This window comes from Homo sapiens, chromosome 15, assembly GCF_000001405.40.
Source record: "Homo sapiens chromosome 15, GRCh38.p14 Primary Assembly".
NCBI classification, from domain to species: Eukaryota; Metazoa; Chordata; class Mammalia; order Primates; family Hominidae; genus Homo; species Homo sapiens.
Genome location: NC_000015.10, coordinates 40,357,134 through 40,379,862, shown reverse-complemented (window position 1 = coordinate 40,379,862; position 22,729 = coordinate 40,357,134). Strand labels below are relative to the sequence as shown.

Below are 22,729 nucleotides of genomic sequence, written 5' to 3'. Positions count from 1 at the left end.
GGATATGTGTGCTGATAGGAACGAGCCAGCAGAACAGAGGGAAAGGATACTCAGGAGCAAGGAAGAAGGAAGATGGGATCCAGAGTAGCATCTTTAAATTCCTTTATTCATGCGCCCCCACAAAATAAAAAAATAAAAAAACCCTCTTGCCTGTTTTCACTTGATACCTAAAATTTAAGTTTACTTTTATTTTTATTTTTTTAGAGGCAGGATCTTGCTATGTCACCCAGGCTAGAGTGCAGTGGCTATTCACAGGTGTGATCATAGATAGCGTACTGTAGCCTTGAACTTCTGGACTCAAGCCATCCTCTCACTTCAGCCTCCTAAGTAGCCAAGACTGTAGGCATGCACTATCTCACCTGGCTTAAATTTTTTTCATAACTTTAAATCATTGTAAAGGACATACTTTCTGCCTGTTGTATATTGTGTATACTTTTTTTCTTTTTTTTTGAGATACGGTCTCGCTTGGTTTCCCAGGCTGGAGTGCAGTTGTGCGATCATAGCTCACTGCAGCCTTCAACTCTTGGGCTCAAGCGATCTTCCTGCCTCAGCGTCCCAAGTAGTTGGGGCTATAGGCACGTGCCACCATGCCTGGCTAATTTTAAAATTTTTTTGTGGAGATGAAGTCTTGCTATGTTGCCCAGGCTGGTCGGGAGCTCCTGGCCTCAACTGATTCTCCCACCTTGGCCTCCCAAAGTGCTGAGATTACAGGCATGAGCCACCCACCTGGTCACATTGTGTATACTTTGTATTCTTTTCTTTTTTCTTTTTTTTTTTTTTTTTGAGATGGAGTCTCATTCTTTTGCCCAGGCTGGAGTGCAGTGGTGCCATCTCGGCTCATTGCAACCTCTGTCTCCCGTACTCAAGCGATTCTCCTGCCTCAGCCTCCTGAGTAGCTGGGATTACAGGCATGCACCACCACACCAGGCTAATTTTTGTATTTTTAGCAGAGACAGGGTTTCACCATGTTGGCCAGGGTGGTCTCGAACTCCTGACCTCAGGTGATCCGCCCGCCTCAGCCTCCCAAAGTGTTGGGATTACAGGCATGAGCCACTGCGCCTAGCCCTTTGTATTCATTTCTAAAATTCTTTCTCTTGGTGTTTTTTGGATAATTTCTATTGTTATGTCTTCAAGTGCACTACTGTTTTTTCTGCAACGTCTAAACTGTTGTTAATTCCATTCAGTGATTTTCCATCTCAGACTTTTTTTTTTTAATTTTAAAAACACTTTTAAATTCTTTATTTTGGAATCGTTATAATTGACAGGAAGTTACAATGATAGTATAGGGAGGTCCTTTGGACTCTTTACCCAGTTTCCCCCAATGGTTTTGTTTCAGTACAATTTTAACAGCTTTATTGAGATATAATTAACATTCCATAGACCACATATTTTAAGTGTACAATTTGATAAGTTTAGAAATTACATATACCTGTGAAACCATCACCACAATTAAGATAATAAACACAGCCGTCATCCCCAAATCATTCCTCCTTCCCCTTGGTACTTCTTCCCATCCTCCTCTTTCTGCCTACCCCACCCACCCCATCATCTCAGACATTTTAGTTTTCGTCTCTAAAATTCAAAGTGGGTATTTAAAAATATCTTCCTAGTCTCTACTTAGTACATATGGAATACAGTTATAATAATTCTTTTAGTGTCCTTGTCTAATTCTCACATAGGTGTCAGCTGTAGTGGTTTCAACTGATTTTTCTCCTTATGATGGGTTATAGTTTGCATGACTGGTAATTTTTTATTGGAAAACCAGCCATTGTGAATTTTACATTTTTGGGTGCTCGTTAATTTTGGATTTCTGTTAATGTTCTTGGGTTTTGTTCTGGGATACACTTCAGTTACTTAGAAACAGCTTGATTCCTGAATTCAGGTCTTGCTTTTGAGATTTGTTAGGTAGGTTCCAGCAATGTTTAAACTAGGGCTAATGAATCCCCACTACGAGGCAAGGCCCTTCTGAGACCTCTGACCAATGCTCCATAAATTTGAGGTTTTCCAATCTGGCTGATGGGGACAGGCGTGGTCCAGGCTGTGTGTGACTTCTGGCTACTGTTCCGGCCCATTGTTTTGGGTGGTCCTTTCCTTTGTCTCAAGTGGTTTCCTTACACTTATATGATGAATCATGCTCTGTGGAACACTCAAGGGGGGCCCTTTGCAGATCCCCAGAATTCTCTATATATCCACCTTTCTCCTCTCCAGTACCCTGTCCTGAGCACTCTAGCCAGCTTGGCTGCTCCACACTCCCAGCTATCCCCTCACCTCAGAGTCACTTGCTTTGCCTGGGTTCTCCCTCCGTGAAATACATCCTCTCAAGCGGTAAGCTGGGCAACCGAGGGGTTCTCCTTGTTTGTTTCTTGCCTCTGAGAGATCACTGTCTTTTGTTACCTCATGTCCAGTGTCTTGAAACTCATTATTTCATGTATTTACTGTTTGGTTGGTTGTTTCAGGCAGGAGGATAAACTTGGCCCCTGCTCCTCCATCTTGGCTGGAAAGGGAAGTTGTATCTGTACTTTCAGTCAAAAATTTTTTTTTTTTTTTTTGAGACTCTGTTGCCCAGGATGGAGTGCAGTGGCGCAATCTCGGCTCACTGCAAGCTCCGCCTCCCGGGTTCACGCCATTCGCCTGCCTCAGCCTCCTGAGTAGCTGGGACTACAGGTGCCCGCCACCACGCCCAGCTATTTTTTTGTATTTTTAGTAGAGATGAGGTTTCACCATGTTAGCCAGGATGGTCTCGATCTCCTGACCTCGTGATCTGCCCGCCTAGGCCTCCCAAAGTGTTGGGATTACAGGCATGAGCCACCACGCCCAGCCTTCAGTCTGTTTTTGTTCAAACTGTGGAGCTGCAGATTAAAGTTATTCCATTTTAGGGAAAATGTCCACCATACATCCTACTTGCAAAGACTATCCTCTCTGTCAAACCTGTGAGCCAATTCTGACCTTCTAACAGAAAAAGTCTGATTTTATTTTTCCATTCAAATCAATGTGGTTAATATGTATCCTGTGTCAACCATCTCACTTTCAGTTTAAATTCTTCTTTATTTCTTTTTTTAGAGTTAAGGTCTCGCTCTGTTGCCAGGCTGGAGTGCCATAATGTGATTATGGCTCACTGTAACCTCGAACTCCAGAGTTCAAGTGATCCTCTTGCTTCAGCCTCTGGAGTAGCTGGGTCTACAGGCGCATATCACCATGCCCAGCTAATTTTTATTTTTATTTTATTATTTATTTATTTATTTTGAGATGTAGTCTCGCTCTGTCACCCAGGCTGGAGTGCAATGGCATGATCTTGGCTCACTGCAACCTCTGCCTCCAGGGTTCAAGCGATTGTCCTTCCTCAGCCTCCTGAGTAGCTGGGACTACAGGCATGCTCCACCACGCCCGGCTAATTTTTGTATTTTTAGTAGAGACAGGGTTTTGCCATGTTGGCCAGGCTGGTGTTGAACTCCTGACCTCAGATGATCTACCTGCCTCGGCCTCCCAGAGTGCTGGGATTACAGGCGTGAGCCACCGCGCCCGGCCCATGCCCAGCTAATTTTTAAAATTATTTTTTGTAGATACGGGATCTTGCTATGTTGCCCAAGCTGGTCTCAAACTCCTGGCCTCAAGCCATCCTCCCACTTCAGCCTTTCAAAACACTGGGATTATAGGCATGAGCCACTGTGTCTCACCTGAAGTTGAATTATTTTTAAAAATTTTTATTATTTTTTCCTTTTTAATATATATTTATATATTTTACAATATAACATGTCAATGAATTTGAATTCTTAAATGAAGAAGGCACAGAACTGAGCCACAGGGCTGCCCCTGTGAACTTTCTCAAAGAAGCTCTCCAGGCTTTGCTCTTTCAAGGACTTCCTCAAGCAGAGCATTCTCAAGTGGCCCTTTTATTTGTTTTTTACAGCGCAGAGCAAGGAGCCAGAGTAGGATTCAGAATGAGGGAGGGGAGGCAACTGGGAAAGTGGAAGTTGGGAAGGACAGCTGTCAGGCCTGTGGCTTCTTAGGCCCACCAATATAAGGAGGGGAACATATGGAGAAGGCGGCTCTGGAAACTGATTACTTTAAAACTATCTGTGTCCACCTACCTTCTAGAAAGTCTTCATGTCCTTGTAGGGGAGTGCAAACCCTCGTGTGAAGGCCTCTGACACCAAGTGTGAGAAGCCATTGATGGAGCCATTACTGCTTCCTTCGTTGTAGCAGAAGGGATGGGGAGAGGAGCAGGCAGGAGCGGGGGTAGGTAAGTTGTGGCTTTGGTGCCTTGAAGGTGAGGAAATTTCTATTTGAAGGCTTCAGTTTTCTTCATGAAGAATTTTTTTTTTTTTTTTGTCCACTGAGGGGTGGGGGAAGGTGAGATATTTGAGGAAGGTGGAGAAAATATAAAAGAGTCAATACAAATAATCAAAACTAGTAGCTAGAATGAATACTAGCTAGGCAGAGCTGAGGGTCCAGTTAAGATAGGTGGTCATGAATTCAAATCTACATCAATCTGCTCAGCTGTGTGATTTTCTTTAGCAATATTAAAGCTCTTGTTTGTTTGATGGTTGTGGATTTGGTAAAATGCTGATCTTTCCCCTATATTGAGAAAAATGTGAGTAATCACAAAGAGGCCCGATAATAATTATGAGAAATTTATCAAGGCCCTTCCAGTGTTCCTCTGCATAAGGTGGCTTTGGATGGCCAGACATTTACATAGCACATAGTGGCTTTCTTTTGTTTCTCATATTCCTGGTGAATTGAACTACGATTTCTTCTCCTAAGCATAAATACCTGCAGACCTTAGTTACAGTCATCCCTGTGAACAAGGGTGTGGGTAGAAAGGGTGAGGAATGTCTGTCTTTCCTATCACCAGGTAAATGGGATCTTGATGCTTGGCATGGGGTCCCAAGAGCTTGCCATTACCCATGTGTATTATCAAAAAATGAGATACTGCCACCGTCAAAGAAAAGATCAGGGCCGGGTGTAGTGGCTCACACCTGTAATCCCAGCACTCTGGGAGGCCGAGGTGGGCGGATCACAAGGTCAGGAGATCGAAACCATCCTGGCTAACACAATGAAACCCCGTCTTTACTAAAAATACAAAAAATTTGCCAGGCGTGGTGGCAGGTGCCTGTAGTCCCAACTGCTCGGGAGGCTGGGGCAGGAGAATGGCGTGAACCTGGGAGGCAGAGCTTGCAGTGAGCCAAGATCGTGCCACTACACTCCAGCCTGGGCGACAGAGCAAGACTCCGTCTCAAAAAAAAAGAAAAGATCAGAAACTCTCTGGACGATAGGCAAAGGTTGTAAACCAATGTATCCTCTTTCTTAAAATCTGATTTAAAGCCTTCTTCCCTGTCCTGACATGCACTGGGAGAAGGACAGAATGAGTTGGAGGGGGCTAGGGAAATTTTGGCTTATAACTCTCTTGAGAAATGTCTTTTTAAAAATTGTCTCGGCCAGGCGCGGTGGCTCATGCCTGTAATCCCAGCACTCTGGGAGGCCGAGGCAGGCGGATCATGAGGTCAGGAGATCGAGACCATCCTGGCTAACACTAAAAATACTCTACTGTCTCTACTAAAAATACAAAAAATTAGTGCAGTGAGCCGAAATTGTGCCACTGCACTCCAGCCTGGGCGACAGAGCAAGACTCTGTCTCAAAAAAAAAAAAAAAAAATTGTCTCAAGCTGGAATATTGCCCGCATATCATGGTATGGGATATGCTATATATCAGTAAAATCTAAGATTCAGCCAATAAAATCAGTCTGTCTAACACTGTCACTCTAAAAGTCCCCAAATCACCACAGCCATGGAAGGATGGTTTTCCCATGGTAACAGACTATATCAAGTTTACATATATATATATATATATTTTTTTTTTTTAAGATGGAGTCTCGCTCTGTTGCCCAGGCTGGAGTGCAGTGGCGCAATCTCGGCTTACTGCAAGCTCTGCCTCCTGGGTTCACATCATTCTCCTGCCTCAGCCTCCCGAGTAGCTGGGACTACAGGCGCCCGCCACCACACCCGGCTAATTTTTGTATTTTTAGTAGAGACGGGGTTTCACCATGTTAGCCAGGATGGTTTCGATCTCCTGACCTCATGATCCACCTGCCTTGGCCTCCCAAAGTGCTGGGATTACAGGCGTGAGCCACCGTGCCCGACTTATTTATTTATTTATTTTTTGAGACGGTGTCTTGCTCTGTCATCCAGGCTGGAGTGCAGTGGCACGATCTCGGCTCACTTCAACCTCTGCATCCCGGGTTCAAATGATTTTCCTGCCTCAGCCTCCTGGGTAGCTAGGACTACAGGCATCCCCCACCACGCCCAACTAATTTTTGTATTTTTAGTAGAGGCGGGGTTTCACCATGTTGGCCAGGCTGGTCTCAAACTCCTAACGTCTAGTGATCCACCTGCCTCAGCCTCCCAAAGTGCTGGGATTACAGGCATGAGCCATCATGTCCGGCCTCAAGTTATATTTTAATAGCATACAGGATACATACTCGTACTCAGAATGTGAGTTCAAGGATCAGTGGCACAAATAGGGGAAATGACCTCAAGTTCCAAATGTTAATGTAGTTCTATTAGAGTGTCTGAGTGGGGAGAAATCATTTCTTGAATTTTGCAGGGCAAGCATAAGTGCTTTGACTCATTTTTGTACGCCTCACAGCGTGCTTGTAAGCCATGTCTCCAGGGCCATACACTCATTGTAAGTGCCCCTAATAATAATAAAGCAAAGGATCTGCTGCAACTCAAAGGAAATAGGAAGTGCTTTAAGTTCCACATTCCAAAGTCAGGGCTAGAGAGGCAGGCTGGATTTCCTGCTGATGTGGATTGCCTGCTGTTGGTTTGGGCCATTCTAGGTATAAGGTAATGTTTTAGATTACTGCTGGGTTCTTCTGGGCCTGGCAACATAAAGAACAAATCTAATCAATGCATCAGCTGCTATGGCTCATTCACCTTCCTGAAGTGTTGTGTGGCCACAGCCTGCAAGAATATGACCTGGAAATCCCCAGGTAGGGCCCTCGGGTGTGCTCAGATCCCTCATGCCCACCCATCCACCCCTCTGCATTCTAACATTTCAGTGGTTATGTTCAGGCAAAGTGTCTTCTGCTCATGCTTGGGAGGAAGAGTTCCCTTAACCTCCCTGTGGCTCATTGTCCCTGAGGATACCAGGGCTCTCTCAGCCTGGCTGCATGATGACAGAGGGACACCATTATCAGAGAAACCAGGGCTGATGAGCAGCTCTAGGTCAGAGAGGCCGAATGCTACCTGGACATGAAGAGAGAGGTCCCAGCAGACCCCCTGGGGACAGGTTCAAATTAGGTTCCAGCTTCCCCTTCCTGGTGTCAGGAGTTACTCATCTTGATTTACTTATCTTGCAAAGGAGCCAAGGTATCCTGCCGTACCTGCCTATTGCCTTCTGTCTCTTCCACAACTCCCATGTCTCTTTTCGGTTTCTGCTCCACTTCTCATGGGCTACTTGGAGTAGGAAGTAGGTCTCAATAATAAAAAACTAAATAAAACAAAAACATCATCTGATTTGCCTCCAGCTCTGCCACAGACTATTTGGCCCTAGAACAATCCCTTCCCTTTCCTGATACTCCTCTGTAAAATAGCCTGGATCAGTAGCTTTCATATTACATTCTGTGAAGCTGCCAGGAGCCGGAGGGGTTCCCCAGATACCCGGAGAGGCTGCAGTGGAAAGACAGGCTAAGCTGACTCCACCCCCAACACCCAGCGCCCACCAGAGTAGCTGCCTTTTACCTGTTTTATATATTGTTTTTCCACACAGAGCTTCTTTGAAGAAAGAGTCCTGAGGCTACAAAATTTGAAAACTGCTGGAATAAACGATCGCCAAGGCCCCTTCCAGTCTGAGACGCTTGGTCTTCTGAAGCCCAGCTCAAGTTTTTCCTCCTCCAGAAAGCCTTTCTTGTTACCCAGTCCTGGGTACTTGAGCTCCAACAATAATGATGATGGCAGGCATATGGTGCCGTCCGTGAGCCATCCGATGCCTGCATGTGTGCATAAGCTGTCTCCCCAGCTAGAAGGTGAGCTCTTTGAGGGTGGTGTTCAATTTTTCTTCCACACCTCTGTCCCCTTGTAATACCATATGCAAAGTAGGTGTTCAATAAACATGTTGATGCCACCTGGTGTCATGAGCTCTCACATGGGATAAAACTTCCCTACCAGGAAGTTTGGGAAGGAGGAACCAGCCTTTGGTCTGCTTAACGCTCCACAGAGAGACTTGTCCTTAAAAAGCTGGGGACCCTAACCTGGGAAGCAGCTTCAGACTCATACACTTCCCAAAGGGCAGGTCTGAGTTCCTGCCTTGATTGGATTTGGCTTCACCTCTTCTGCCCCTCAGTACCTCTTCTGGTGGGGCCTCTTATACACTGTGGCTGTAGAAGAGGCACGGTCCTGAAGCCTGGGAATCAGGTCAGCTAGGACGCCCCAGGGCCAGCAGACATCTCAGCCAGATTCCAGAGGGAGGCACGGGGGAGATGGAGAGGAACTCCTGGGTTTTTTTGGAATACAGCTCTCTCAGGAAGTGGAGGCCCAAAGAGGGTGGCTGGATTCAGTCAGAGACACCAGAGAAAGCAGATTGGAGGAGGGTGCTAGCGGTGAAAGAAGGCAGGTAGCCAAAGGGAAACTGGAGGTTGTAGTGGTGGAATGAAACCGCTCTGCCATTTAGTGGCTAAGTGACCCTGAGGTCAGTTCATCTTACTTAGTCTCAATGTCTTTACCTATAAATTGGGTGTCAAAAGAACCTGACCAATGTCAGGCTACCCTGTAGTGAAGTAGTGAGATAGATTCCAAGGAGACTAAAATGTGCAGAGATGGAAAGGATTATTACTGTTTATTAACACAGGAAAGCACAGGAGCCTGCTTCCAAAGAGGGACTGTCCCGTAATTGAGAGATGCTCCAAGGCTGACCATCCTCCTTCTCCTGCTGCACACCCAGCAGCCATCTATGGCTGGATTTGGAGAATTTCTGGTCAAACCGGTGAGTATGAGGAGAGCAGGGCAGTTGGGGAGAGAGGTCCCAGCCCAATTCTGCCCAGAGAAGCTCCCAAAAGAGAGGGAAGTGTCCTGATGAAGAGCCCATGAAAGGGGTGAGACCCAGGAGGCTGTGGAGATTGCTGCGGGCTCCTCTGGTCAGTAAGGAACCCTGACAAGATCCCTAGGATGGGGGTCCCTTAGTCTCACTGAAGTTCTTGTAACTTGGGATGGGGGCCAGGTCAGCCTCCTCTGATACCCGAAGCTACACATCTGGCCTTCCCCACTTCTAGAGGAGGGGTCTTAGATGGTGCTGTGGGAGCAGACAAGCCCTCAGCAGGTCGCAAGCAGGTCCCCTCCAAAACCCCTCCTGCTGGAATCCTCCAGATGTGAGGAGTAGGAGCAGACAGATCAAGGCTGGGACATCTGGCAGGGTTTAACATCCACAGCTGGAGGGTGAGACCTCTCCCTGTGGATCTGGAGAAATACCTTCGGGCTCCAGCCTATTGCTGCCCTTGCCTTGTCATCCATGACAGGGTTCCGCGCCCTGTCCAGCCTCCCCGGGTCCCCCTCAGCTGCTATAGCCTGACGTGTGAGTGCTGGGCCTGCGCAGCCAAACATCTGGCAGGTCTGGCTGGCTATTGGGCAGCACCACAGGGCTGCCATCCCCTGGCCCCCCTCGGCCCTTCCAGGACAAGCTGCTGTGATGGGAAGCGGGCAATGATGGGTCATACACTGTCTCCCTCAGCGCCAGCCACAGGGTGTCCCGCTTCCCATTGAGCTGGCCTCGCTCAAGGACTGGCTGCCCAGTGTCATCCAGGTCATCTGGGGACACACCCACGGAATCTGGTACACGGGCACTGGGCTCAGAGGTGCTTAGGCAGGTCTCATCAGAGACGCTGAGCCCCTCCAGGGTGCTGGCTGAGGAACAGAAGCCATCAGGAGGATCTGCAGCCTTGGCCTTAGGAGAGTGGGCTGGGGCTTCTGGTGAGGCTGGCAGGGGCTCAGCCTCCTCCCCTTGGGAGTCCTGCCTGGCCCGGGTTTTGGGGCTGGGGCCAGCCTGCTTATAGGGGGAGGAGGTCTGCAGGGCAGGGCACTGGCTGAAGACTGCCTGGTGGTCCAGCAGCAGCTCCCTTGGGGAGGCAGGGGCTGGTGGGGGCCGGGAACAGCACGGACCATCATGGAGCTGCAGATCCTCAGAGAGTACTGAGGGCCGGTGGGACAGCTTGCTGGTGGCTGTGCTGGTGTCAAAGCTGGGGCTCCGACGCCGTGCCAGGGGCTGTAGCTCATATTGCTCTGAGCAGGACCCGGGCATCCCTCCCACTGACCCTGGTCGTGGGCGGCCTGCCTTCTCCCCACCAGGGTCCCCAGTACCAGCATCCCATGGCAGGTGGGCACAGGGCCAGAGGATCTGCCCACAGTTCTTCTCTGGCCCGAAGAAACAGCAGAGAGATTGGAAGAAGAAGCTGGCAAAGCCACAACTGACGCATTTGACCATCATGAGGATGATGCCCAGCTTGCGATAGAGCAGCACTGTGGCAGGCAGCATGAGCACGCCTGCCGCAAACAGGGCTGCAGCCCCCACGGCTGTGGCGCAGCTGGTCTGGCGCAGAGAGAAGGCCACACGGCTCAGGCGGTCAGGGTGTGGGCACAGGTGATAGGAGATGCAGTAGTTGACAGTGAAGTCTACTGAGAGGCCCACTGAGGCAGAGAGAAACAGGGCCTCGGCAGTGTTGAGCTGCCACTCGAGGAGAACCAGGAGTCCTACAGTGAGCAGCACGGTGCCTGCCACAGCTGCCACGGAGAATAGGCTGAGGGGAACATTCCAGGTGCCCAGGAGCAGTGTGGCAAAGGCCAGCGCCAAAGCCAGGCCCAGCACCACAGCAGGCTCAGTGCTCAGGCTGTGCTGCAGGCTATACAGCTCTAGACGGCTAGTGAACCAACCACGGCGGAGGCCTGGAGGTGCCATGCCCAGCTCCGCTGCCAGCCAGTGGCTGACCTCATTGTAGAAGAGCTGGGTCTGGTTGTAGTCCGGACTGTTCCGGAAGTTGGTCTGGAATTGTAGGACCAGGGCGGCCAGGCTGCCATGGGCATCAAAGCGGAGTCCCAGGTCCTGGGTGCCATCGGGGCCTTGCTCCAGAGCCATCATTTTCAGGCAGTGCAGGAAAAACTGGGGGGCCCAGGGGAAGTCCGAGTGGCCGCAGCAGAGGTCAGGCCCCAGGCGGGCGCAGCTGGGGCTCTCCATCCAGCGCTGGAGGGTCTCCACGAAACACAGCGTGGGCCAGCCTTCCTGCAGGGTGTCGAAGAAGCTCTGATTCCGGGCCCGGTGACAGAGTGCCAGCAGCCAGCGCTGGGCCTCAGGGCCGCTGGCCGAGAAGGCAGGGTCCCTCACCAGGCTGCTGTTGCTACGAGGGTCCAGAGGGTCGCCAGTGTCCACAGGCAGGACGCCCCACACCAAAACCACGGGCATGTGGCCGCCCTCGCCCTGCGGCAGCTGCTCGAACAGGAACAGCTGGCGATACTCCGCGTCGAAGCGCTCGAAGGGGTGGCTGGGCCGGAAGACCTGGCCGCCGGGCGGCGGCAGCGTGGGCAGCCGCAGGCGGGGGCTGACTCCGGCGATGTAGGCGCCCCCTGCCGCCAGTGCTGCGAACCAGCAGATCCAGATGTAGCGGAACTTGATGACGCCGCAGGGCAGCAGGCGCTGGAAGAGCAGACGCGAGGTGCCAGCCGCCGCCCTCCGCAGGCCGCGGAGCCGCCGGTGCAGCGCCAGCAGTAGCCGCCGGGGCGCGCTGCCCTCCCACCGGCCCCGCGCCCGGCGCGCACAGCCGCGCGCCAGGTAGCGCTCGTGGAGCACGGCGGAGGCGGGCAGCCAGACCAGCGTGAGCGCCAGGTGCACCAGCACAGCCGTGCCCATGAAGAGGGCGAGGCAGCGAACGGCCGGCAGGCGGCTCAGGTAGCTGGCATAGAAGGCCGCGCTCGTGGTGAGGCCGGAGACCAGCAGCAGGTAGCCGAAGTGGTGCATGGTGCGGCCCACGCGCTGCGCCAGCCCCCCCGACGGCAGCTGGCTCTTGCTAAGGCGCCACAGGTCGAAGAAGATGAGCGTGTGGTTGGCGCAGACGCTGCTCAGCAGGAGGAGGGCTGCCAGATTGACGAAGGGGAAGTAGGCCATGCGGAAGGCCACCTGGTAAAGGAAGAAGGCCACCAGCAGTGAGCCCAGCACCCCCAGCAGCACCATGAGCGTGAGGAAGAGTGAGCGCAGGTACAGGGCCATGCCGAAGAAGATGGCAACCAGAGCCAGCAAGGGGTACACCGTGTCCTGGACCAGGAAGTGCCTCAGCAGCTCCTGCTTGAGGCCCAGGTCCATGCCAGTGACAGAGGTGTAGTTGTCAGCAAGCCCCCAGGGGGTGGCCAGCCGGTCCAGGTAGATGTCCATGAGGGAAGCACCCTTTGGGGTGGGCAGGAAGAGCAGGCTGTACTTGAGGGAAGGCACCTGGTAGTCAGTGGTCTGGGGACTCAGAAAGTCCCTGTCAAGCAGAAAGTGCAGGAGTTGGTAGATGGCACTACTCTGGGAGCACTTGGTGGGAACCTGGGCACAGCGTGGGGACTTGTTCTGCCCAGGTCCCAGACAAGAGGGCACCAAGGCGCCACTGTGGTAGTAGAGGGCACAGGTCCGAAGCAGGGCCAGTGTGCGGGCTGCGTCAGCTTGGGTAGTGTCCAGGCAGGAGGAGCGGTTGGAGAGCACAGCCAGATAGTTGCCCAGGGACCAGCTGGGGCAGCACTGGTTGGCTGCTGTCCGCTGGCACAGAGCCCCGAAGCTGGTATGGGAGCGGATCTGTAGGGCACACGCAGGAGGGGAGAGTTCAGGGGCAGCCCAAGGGCTCAGGTTTTCCCAGTCCTATACAAGGCTCTCTCATCTCCTTTCACACTACAGGGCAAGCGCAGAGAGGGATCTTGACAGCCTGGTGAGATAGGCTTGTCTCCCAGCTGCCTTTGGCTCCTGGCCCAGGTGCCAGCAGCTACATCTTGACTTCATCAAAGAGGAGCCTCAGGGATGCTGCCCAAGGCTTCAGCCTCAGAGACCCTGCTGTAAGGGCCCCTGTAGGTCACACACCCCAACTCCATGTAAAAGTGGAGGTAGCAGCCACAGATAGAACAGGGCCAAGGGTCCAATGAGCTGAAGCAAGCAATGGGAAGAGTGGAGGCCAAAACATTCCAGGTTCAGGGTCACTGCCAAAACCCAGCTCCCCTCTGTCCACTGCACCGCTTAAACCCTCTTAGGCCCAGGGCTGTTTCTTTTTCAAATCTCATGCCTCCTTTTTTCTCCTTTCCTGTTGTTGACATCACAACAGCTGACGTAGTACAGAGAGCACTGACCTGGGAGTCAGAGGCCCTTGCTCTGCCACTAACTGGCTGCGTAACCTTGGGCCTGAGATCATGGTGGCAACACAGTACTTATTGAGAGATTACTATTGCCAGTCATTATGCTGTATTTTTTCAACTTCTATCTCATTTAACTGTCACAACATCCCTGTGAGGAAAGTACGTTTATCATCCCCATTTAGCGCTTATGAAGCCTGAGGGACTAAGACGTTAAGAAACATGGCTGAAGTCACATAGCAAGACAGCCTTAGAGCTGGCCTTGAATTCAGACATCTGACTCTATAATGCATGTTCTTAACCAGTCTTTTGGTACTTGGGATATCCTCGTGTGAAGTGGGGGGCTGGGCTGCTGCGTGGTTTTCACACCATTTTCAGCAGCAAACCTTTCTTCAGATGTTATTGTATATGATTCTCCAGTTAGCATAACTGGATTGGCACTGCTCAGGTTGATGGGGGCTGAGGCCTTGAAGCCCACAGTCTCAGCTCCCTGGGCCAGGGCCTCCTCACCCGCTCTGGAGGGCCCTTTCAGGACCTTTTGGAAACCCGCAGTCCCTGCATGGGCTCGCTTCCAGCACTTCTATCTTGGCTCTTCTAAAAACAGCCGACTCTTCTTTTCCCACCCCAACCTGGAGCCTCTCAGCAGGGTTGGAATAATTTTCTAAGCAGGGAATGCTCTTCCCCAGTCCACCCCCTGGCAGTCCTGGCTCAGCTGTATTTCCTTGGGATCAGTTCCCTCATGTCCTTAGTTCCCCCCAAACCCCTGGCACCTCCCCCACCAGCTCACCTGGTCCTGTTCCATGCGACACATGGAATGGATGGCATGCAGGTTCCATAGGCTGCCCGAGGAGGTGGACATGAACACCAGCTTTGCATAGCTCTTCTCTGCAACATACCCCCGCAACCTGGAGCTCAGTCCTTTGGCCCCAGGTCCTGGGTCCTCCAAAGGGAAGATGCTTACCCAGGGCCACATGAGGTTCAGATTCTCAGGCATCTCAAGCCTGTGCATGGACTGCCTGATCCTGTCCCTGTGCCTCACCCCAACCCAGCTTGACCCTGTCTGGCTGGAGCATCTGAGAACTCCCCTATCCCAGCTGTAACCCGGCTTCCTTGGCTTGACTGTGGCCAGCTGGCCACCTTCCCTTTCTGTCTGCCCAGATTTGTTCTGGGCCTGCCTGTCCTACTAGGTGGGGTGGGGACCACTATTAAAACCAGGAACTGGCCAGGCTGCAGCTTACCAGGGGGGCCACAGAAGAAGTTCTCTTGCCTTCTGTCCTCCAGGGGCTCCACCATTCTCCGAGGCCGGACAGCGCTCTCCTGGGCACTGCCTCTGGGTGCAGGCCTCAGAGTGTTGTGGGAGCTCGAGCTGAAGTGGAGAGAATATCTATGCCAGGCACCATTAGGGTTGGAAGACTCAGAGGAGGCCAGAGACCACTCCCCAGGGAGCCTTCCTTGGCAAGCCCCTCTGACCTGCCTTGGGGTGGGTCACCCAATGTCCCCTTCCTGAAGATCTCATTCTTCCCTCTGCCACCCACAGTGAAAAGATGAGAGCCTGTTACCTGTTCAGCTCAAGGTCTGGGGAAAGGAAAAGCAGCTTCCTGGGGCCTGTGAGGGCTTGTAGTGCTCTCCAGACCACTAACTTGCTCCCAATGTCTGTGTCCCGTGGCTCAAAGCCCTGCAGGGAGGAGGGTGGAGAAGAACAGGTGGGCAGGGTAGGAGTTCTCCATTTGGGTGCTTCTCAGCTCTGCCCCTTTGACTCCTCAGAGCAGGGAAGGCCAGCCCGCCTGCCTGAATTGTGGATGTGAGTCTGAACTTTATACCATCTCCCCAACTCTCTCTGGAGGTCAAGAGCCTACCATGGCTACCCTATCCCCAGGCTACCATGGCTACCCTACCTCCAACTTTCTGCCCCAGGCTGGGTCAAGGTGGCCAGGCCTGGGGACCCCGTCCCACCCCTTGGTTCCTCACCAGCAAAGGCTTGGAGAAGTCGGGCAGCCGGGCCCCCAACAGTCCAGCCAGGGTGCAGAGGAAGATGACAGCCAGACACAGCATCAGCACGGCCACTGGCCACTCAGCAATCAGCTGGGAATAGCTGGGAAAGAGGGAGGAGTCCACATGAGTTGGGTGTGGTAGCAACGGGTGCTGAGCTCAGGCTCCACCCAGAAGGGGTGCTAGATAGAGCAGAGAGCACGGGGAACAGGGCTAACTGGGCACCAGCCTGGTCACCCCTAGAGGTCCAGGGAAGGCCCAGGCCTACCTCTTTGGCATCTGGAAGGCTCGTTCCTGCCTGTGGAAGAGAAGAAAAGATGCTTGCTTGCCAGAGTTCTCTTGCAGAGGGCGTGTGTTGGGGGTGGAGGTGGGGTGGGAGTGGGTAGGTGAGGGATAACCCATGGTATTAACCCTTTTAGCGCTTTGCCACTCCCAAGTTCCAACCCTTACTTCCTGTTGCATCTGGTTGCCTCCTAAGAAAGGAGTCTAGAGCCCCGGCAGTCTGCCCCACTCTTAAGCCCCACCGCATTTTCCAGTGGCAGCTGGCAGGCTGCTGGACCCCTCCTTACCTGACGCTGACCACATGGTGCTGCACAGCGGGTGGCTTCCAGGTCCCATCGCGCTGTGAGGGGGCTGGAGAAGGGCTGAGGCTGGAGCCGTGGGAGCAGAGAGCTGCCCGATCCCCAAGTCCTGGCAGGGAACTGCCCCCCTGGTATTCCTGCAGTGCCCGGGGATAGGTGAAGTGGGCAGGGGCCAAGGGGCTGGATGGACCCACAGGCTGGAGGGTGGAAGTTGTTGGTGGGGGTCCTGAAGAGCTGGAAGGGTCCTCCAGGGGGCAGCTGTGGAGGGAGCAGCTTCTCTCTGGGCTTGCCTCAGGGGGCACAGCCTTGGTCTGGGTGCTAGGAAGAGAGGAGACAAGGAAGATTGGGGTGGGGGATGGTGGTGGGCCACCCCATGCCCCAGCATTATTCAGTTCAGTAAGACAAGACAAGGGGACAGGGACTCAGGGTTGATTTATTAGTCCTGGGGGAGAAGTGAGAGGTGAGGAGGCCAGGGGCTCGAAGTCTGCGCCCTCAGCCTACCTCATGGAGACCATTCTCTCATTCACTCATTTTCCACACTCTCAAAAAACAATTGGCAGGCTGCTACATGCTAGGCCCTGTGCTAGACACTGAATGTGCTTTCACATATATGATTTTTTTTTTTTTTTTTGTGATGGAGTCTCGCTCTGTCACCCAGGCTGGGGTGCAGTGGCGCTATCTCAGTTCACTGCAAGCTCCGCCTCCCGGGTTCAAGCCATTCTCCTGCCTCAGCCTCCTGAGTAGCTGGGATTACAGGTGCCCGCCATCACGACTCGCTAATTTTTTTTTTTTTTTGTATTTTCAGTAGAGACGGGGTTTCACCGTGTTAGTCAGGATGGTCTTGATCTCCTCACCTCGTGATCCGCCTGCCTCGGCCTCCCAAAGTGCTAGGATTACAGGCGTGAGCCACCGCGCCCAGCCGATCTTACTCACTCCTTATAAAACCTCACAGAGGAGGTATTTTCTTCAACTGATAGATTTGAAAACAGGTTCAGTGACAGATGAAGAGCTGGTACTCAAACCCAGTTCTTCCGACTTGCAGTCCTGTGCTCTTTCTGCTGCAGTCGTCTGCTCTTTCTCTTGCCAGACAGATTATTGAGCACGTGCTGCACTCCTAATTCCCATCTTAGAGCCTTGGAACTTTCTCTTCCCTCTGCCTGGGTTGCTCTATCCCCCCCGATAACTGCATGGCCCTCTTTTTTATTCTGGTCTTGTTTCAACTAGTACTACCTCAGAGAAGCCTTTCCTGACTACTCTCTCTAAAATAGTCACCCACCAGGTCTCAATCTCCCTATCTTGCTTTATATTTTTTTCATAGCATCTGTTGCAATTGAATATTATATTATAGAGTCGTTATGTTTATTGCCTATCTTTCATGTGGAATGTGAGTGCTGGGAGAACAGGGGTCTGTTGCATTTGTTCATCTCCATATCGCCAGTGCCTTGGTAGTGCCTTGCACAGAGAAGGCGTCCTGGAAATGTTTGTTGAATGAGTGCTAGGCTGGCTGCTAATAGTGGTGCTAGGATGAAGAAGACCCGGTCCTTGCCTTCTAGGCACTCACAGTAGTTGGGAGGTGTTAACAGACCAACATGTTGAATGCTGTGAGTGGAGAAGTCACAGAGGGCTGAGGGAGCTCAGAGAGGGCCCAACTTTGACAGGGGGTGGGGTGGTCAGGGAAAGTTTGTGGAAGCAACTGCCATCCCTCCACCTACCCTGTCATGGGCCATGGAGCACGGAGCAGAAGATTTGCTTTGTAAGGATGTGCACAGTTGGGAGAGGGAGTTGGGACACCCCCTCACCCCAAGGAACTTGTCAGAAAAGAGTTAGCAAGAGTCTTCTCCCAAAATTACTCATAAGGGCAATACTCTGTGCATGTGTGCAGCCCCACTCCTTGGGTATAGGGAGAGGTAGAGTCTCAACCCCAGTGGCAGGATTGCAGACCCAGATTAGGAAAAGGTGGCTACAGAACAGAGTGCCCAGGGCCATGGGGGGTTCCCAGAGGGGTTCTGGACTGGTCAGCCTTGCAGAGCCCTGTCTTCTTCTCCCCTGCCTCTGCCTGGCTCACCCAGCCTGCTCACCAGAGTTTGTGTAGCTCCCAAGGAGAGTCAGACCTATGCGGAGCCAACCCTGGCTTCCAGTCCTGGCTGCTGCACTGCTGAAGGGGCTGTGAGCTGCAGTCCCAGCCTCAGTGGCAGATGGGCATTGCCCACAGAGGCTGAGTTCAGCCCAGAGACTGAGAAGAGGAACTAGGAAGGAAAAACATGCTCTTTCTTTCTTTCCCAGAAGGATGGCAGGCTGGCCCGGCAGTACAGGAGAGAATGACCTTCATGCTGAGGGTGAAATGGGGGAGCAGTGGAGGTGGGCTTCTGACTCAAACACCCTTTGGCTCTGGGGCCTTGGGAAAGACACACAATTCTTGGAGCATTGGCATCCTTGTCTGTTGAAGATATGAGATAATGCCCACCTCTTGGGTTTGGTGTGGGAATTAACTGATGTAACATATGTGAGGTTCCTGGCACAGGGTCTGTCACGTGGAAGACACGTTTGCTTTCCTGCCCCTTCCCACGGTCAGTGCAGCAGGGAGCATATACTTTTAGAAGTGTGTTTGTATTTACAATTTGTCCTCTTTTGGCACCTCAGATAATATATCTCCATTTTAGAACTTCTCACACCTTGAGAATCTCACTACCTATATAAATACTTTCCTTCTTGTTATCCAAAAGCTGCATTAAAATTTGATCTCATGATTTTAATCACTGATACTTATTTTTTACAAACTCAACATTTAGGAAAATAGGAATTTGACCAAAGTTGTTCTAAAGCAAGACCTCAGATGACTCCATAAAGTTAATAACGTAAGCAGCCAGTGTCCTGGCAGATAAAATACTCTGTAGGCCAATCCCTGTGGGCCAGTGAGAAGGTGGATAAATGGCCTAGGTTGTGTGTGTAAGTGTGGACATAGACCTCTTTAAGATGTTAAATTCTGCGGGTTTTTCTTGAGCACTGTCCTGTGCTTTAGCATTGTCCTTGCTCCTAGAGGCCTGAAGATGACCCATCAGCCTTGGTCTCCCTCTTCAGAGCAGGGCTTGCCTTCTAGAGGTCAGGAGAGTGGGGCAGCCTGGGTGGAGGTGGGGGGCCTGTTCCAGCTGCCCATGGCCTTAGATAACTGATCACTGGGCTTGTCTTAGGAGCCAGGGCCCCACTTGGAGTGTTGGTTTCTTTTGCATTAGGGGAAGCCAGCATTCCAGAGGATACGGGAGAAGAGTGGGTGCACTCTTGGTTACCCAGTTTTCTAAAACCTCCCAAGTCCACCCTTTTCCTTAGCTGGCTCTTGTTCAAGGGGGATCTTAGCCTCCACCACTGGTTTGCTTCTGCTGGAGTCTCCCTGGCCCCAGCTCCTTCCCTTTAACTCCTACTATTCCTCTTCAGGGACCTAGGATCAGCTGCCCCCAATCTCACCCTTCCTGACTGTGCCCACCATTATCAATGTGGCAGAATTTGAAACCTTCCATATTCTGACTGCTGTAGAGCCAGGCCTTTTCTTCAAAACTCCCATGAGAAAAACCGACCTCCACTCTTCTCAGAATAAAAGCTTTCTCTTGTCACCTCCTGCTGCCCTCTGATCTCAGGAGGCTCAGTAAAATAGGAGTTAAGCACCCCAGGGCTACACAGGGGTTTTTTATTCTCACTCCCTCAGTTCCATGGCCCTCACTGGGATGAGTAACTTCCAGGGTTGCCTGCCCGGGCCTGCAGGCCTGTACGCCAAGTGAGTAGGGCAGGCAGGGGGATGGAAAGTGGGGATGCAGGCCTCATTTAAGAGGCCAGCATCCCAGCAATCAGGGCCTGGCTGACAGGCTCCTAGACACAGAGACCAAACCTGGAAGCCCCATAAGGGGCAAATGTATATCGCATTAACTATACCCCCAAGCCCACAGACACACAGCCAGGTGAACATCAGTGTGATCCCACAGAGTGGCCAGGACAGATGGGGAAGCAGCTCATATCACTAGGAAAATAAAAAGGTAATTTTAAAAACACAAAGTGTGAACTATTTCAAATTCCTCTCTAGCCAGTGTGTGTGCACATGCGCATGTTGTGTGTGTGAGTTATTCACTGTGTATCTATCCCCAGAGTGCTACTCAGGTCAGCAGGAGCATTTTTGTGTTTCTTGAATCACATAAGCAAGTCCCTATGCCCAATTAGTGTCTATGGTCTCTGGAGAAGTCCAGAGAGGGGCCAGAGGCCCCAGGGAGTTTCTGGAAGAGAGCAAGTGGATCCTGTGCCCAGGGGAAATGAGACTGGACATGGCTGATCCTTGGCAAGATATCTGAGACAGCAAATGACTCTCCTGCCCCTTCTAGGGATGCTTCTGGCCCCAGGTCCTCGCTCTGTCCTGTCACTGCCCCATCTTTGATCAGGCCATAGTCCCAGGCAGGTCCCTGGACTGGTGAATACACCCATCCTGTGTCTCACCTTCTTGAAGGCTTTGTGACTTTCAGACTGAAGAGTGGCTAAATCTATCCAGGCTAATGTGTTAACAATAAAGGGAAGAAAGCATTTCTCTCTACTTGTGGGGCTTTCTCCCCCTCTGGGGTACAGAATGTACATTTTAACTGGGGTATTCTGGAGACGATGTGTCCACTTCTGCTATTGCTATCAAGGAATGCCTTTTATTTCAGTCCAGGCAGGAAAGAGGCAGTGTCATGTCAGAGGAGGGATTCTGGGGGCGGCAGAGCCAGGCAGGGCACAGAAATTGCGCCATATTGCTACCTAGCTGGGCTGTTCCCTCACACATATGGTGGAGGAAGGGAGAAGAGAGGTGCTGAGATCTGGGCCCTCAGCAGGAAGGTGTCCCTCCTGTCCCACCAGTATGGGGCTCCTCCAGGGGTGGTACAGGCCAGCAGCCTGAGCACCAAATCCTTCCCATCTTAGCGGCTCCAGCCAGTGTGGCTGCCACATGCAGGGACTGGAACCCACACGTGCACAGCTGGGGGTCATGCAGGGCAGGCAAGCGACTGATGGTGACAAAGACAGTCCCTGACGTGCCTGCCGAATGTCTGCCTTCCCCAGGACACCCGCCTTGGCGAGCCTCCCATCCGCGATTCACGCACACCTTCATGCACACTGGCACGCTGAAACCCGGACTGAGGTTACTGCGGGCTTGGGGCTTCCGGAGAAGACGCAGGGGCAGGGCCTAGAAGGAGGGGCCGGAGGAGCCAGGGAGTCCTGGCCTGAGAGGAGGGGTAGGAGCCGTGGGTGGGGCAGGTTCCCTAAGCGGGGAGGGCGATGGGGGCTGACACTAGGGGGTGTCAGGGAGCGAGGAAATTGACCCGGCAGGATGAGGGCGTGGCGAGGGGGGCCTGGAGCTTGGCGACCCCGGGAAGGGGCTCCGGGAGGGTCTGGGGAATGAATGGGGCAACATATGGCGGCTACTGGGGATACCTGGGGCGGGGAGGGTCTGGGAGGGTCTGTGATACGGATCTGCGGAGCTGTCCGCCCTACCTGTCCGGGGAGCCGCCGTCTGGGGCCAAGGGCTCCCCCTCGGGCCGTTGCTCCCCTTCCGGACCCGGGCCGGGAGCCGGACCGCTGCCGCCGCTGCTGCTGCTGCTGTCACCGTCCATGCCCGTGGGCGGCACCGCTGTCCGGGCGCTGGTGCTGAAGCCGCGGCGGCGGCGGCGGCGGCGGCGGTGGCGGCGGCAGCGGCGGCGGGGTGCTCGTGCGCATGCGTAGGCTCTGAGCGGGCCGGTCGCTGGGCGGGGCGAGGAGGAGCCCAGCCAATGGGCGCGGCGCCGCTGCCGGAGCGGAGCGCTCTGTCTCTAAGATCCCGGGGCTGCGGATGTGAGCGCCCCTCTGCTCCCGCCAGGCCAGAGAGCCGCTGTTAGGAGTCCGGCCGTGCAACCCTTCCTAGCGGCCTCGGCCTTCCCGTAAGGAACCAGAGAGCGCGACACATGCAGAGATCCTCACAAATCAAAACGCAGACCCTTCCAGCCGGATAGAGGGCGAGCTCCACGCCCGCACTTCACCACGCTGGACGCCCCGGGTCGAGGCGGGCGGCTTCAGGCCTGCGAGGTTCCCGGCTCGCTCAGCGCCCTCCTCCCCTCCCCAGTGGGGCGAGGCATCAGGTTGGGTCTTTCTTCCCATCCTTCTGGACTTCGACTTGGACCTGGGTGTGCACCCCTTAGATGCGGAGCCCTGACTCCGTTACTCAAGTGCGCAGTCTGGTGAAGGAGGTGGGGGAAGAAGAGAGGCGCTCAGATCATCCCCAGCTCCTTCTCTTTCTTTTTTAAAATTTAAAAGGTTTATAAAGCAAACAAATCACAGTAAGCTAAGGTTAATTTTTGATTCAGGGGCACATGTGCAGGTTTGTTATAAGGGTATATTGAGTGATCCCAGATCCTTTTTTATAGTCACCGCTGCCCCCCCACCCCACCTCAGCCTGGGAGGTGCCCAATAGCCACTGACTCCAGGGCACTGGGAGGTGCCCAATAGCCACTGACTCCAGTGCCACCTCCCCCACCAGGGAGTAGCTGTGAGTAGAGCACATTTGGGTATGATGGACTGTGGACAGGCCTGGCTAAGGGGTCTAGAACTAGAATAGATATTGGCAGTGTGAGAAGCCTGGGGGGCTGGGAGTGGAGAGGATCCTGGATGTGGGATTTGACTAGGCAGAAAGGGTTTTACAGCAAGCAGGCTGTTCAGGGCCTGGTTACTTGTGCAGGGAGAGGCCTTGGTTGAAGACATGGGGCTGAGGAGAGAGTCAGGAACACTTGGACTATAGGTATCCCTAAAATGTGTGCCAATGCCAGTCC

At 52.8% G+C, this 22,729-nt stretch overlaps 1 protein-coding gene and 1 long non-coding RNA gene across 2 annotated transcripts, besides 6 other annotated features; one reads left to right on the top strand and one right to left on the bottom strand.

Moving 5' to 3' along the window:
- Positions 1 to 1,241: 1,241 nt before the first annotated feature.
- Positions 1,242 to 21,644, bottom strand: DISP2 (dispatched RND transporter family member 2). The gene is made up of 8 exons (NM_033510.3): positions 21,423 to 21,644; positions 15,909 to 16,238; positions 15,608 to 15,637; positions 15,319 to 15,442; positions 14,910 to 15,025; positions 14,589 to 14,716; positions 14,138 to 14,235; positions 1,242 to 12,805 (listed from the first exon to the last, which is right to left on the bottom strand). Exons 1-8 carry the CDS (start codon positions 21,539 to 21,541, stop codon positions 9,545 to 9,547), a joined length of 4,206 nt encoding a protein of 1,401 aa, NP_277045.1. The 5' UTR covers positions 21,542 to 21,644; the 3' UTR covers positions 1,242 to 9,544.
- Positions 2,215 to 19,957, top strand: LOC124903472 (uncharacterized). Its single transcript, XR_007064597.1, has 4 exons — positions 2,215 to 4,240; positions 7,769 to 8,024; positions 8,846 to 8,980; positions 16,726 to 19,957. It is a non-coding gene; the product is annotated as an uncharacterized LOC124903472 (long non-coding RNA).
- Positions 11,484 to 11,563: a silencer, noted in NCBI's record as "silent region_6330". NCBI's record gives its function as "represses an Ori minimal core promoter by ATAC-STARR-seq in GM12878 lymphoblastoid cells {active_cell/tissue: GM12878}" and the evidence as "EXISTENCE:reporter gene assay evidence [ECO:0000049][PMID:35858748]".
- Positions 11,646 to 12,537: an enhancer, noted in NCBI's record as "H3K27ac-H3K4me1 hESC enhancer chr15:40659527-40660418 (GRCh37/hg19 assembly coordinates)". NCBI's record gives its function as "activates a minimal SCP1, AML or CMV promoter by ChIP-STARR-seq in primed H9 embryonic stem cells {active_cell/tissue: H9 hESC(primed)}" and the evidence as "EXISTENCE:reporter gene assay evidence [ECO:0000049][PMID:30033119]".
- Positions 11,684 to 11,863: a silencer, noted in NCBI's record as "silent region_6329". NCBI's record gives its function as "represses an Ori minimal core promoter by ATAC-STARR-seq in GM12878 lymphoblastoid cells {active_cell/tissue: GM12878}" and the evidence as "EXISTENCE:reporter gene assay evidence [ECO:0000049][PMID:35858748]".
- Positions 15,533 to 16,033: an enhancer, noted in NCBI's record as "H3K4me1 hESC enhancer chr15:40656031-40656531 (GRCh37/hg19 assembly coordinates)". NCBI's record gives its function as "activates a minimal SCP1, AML or CMV promoter by ChIP-STARR-seq in naive H9 embryonic stem cells {active_cell/tissue: H9 hESC(naive)}" and the evidence as "EXISTENCE:reporter gene assay evidence [ECO:0000049][PMID:30033119]".
- Positions 16,034 to 16,534: an enhancer, noted in NCBI's record as "H3K4me1 hESC enhancer chr15:40655530-40656030 (GRCh37/hg19 assembly coordinates)". NCBI's record gives its function as "activates a minimal SCP1, AML or CMV promoter by ChIP-STARR-seq in naive H9 embryonic stem cells {active_cell/tissue: H9 hESC(naive)}" and the evidence as "EXISTENCE:reporter gene assay evidence [ECO:0000049][PMID:30033119]".
- Positions 21,464 to 21,723: a silencer, noted in NCBI's record as "silent region_6328". NCBI's record gives its function as "represses an Ori minimal core promoter by ATAC-STARR-seq in GM12878 lymphoblastoid cells {active_cell/tissue: GM12878}" and the evidence as "EXISTENCE:reporter gene assay evidence [ECO:0000049][PMID:35858748]".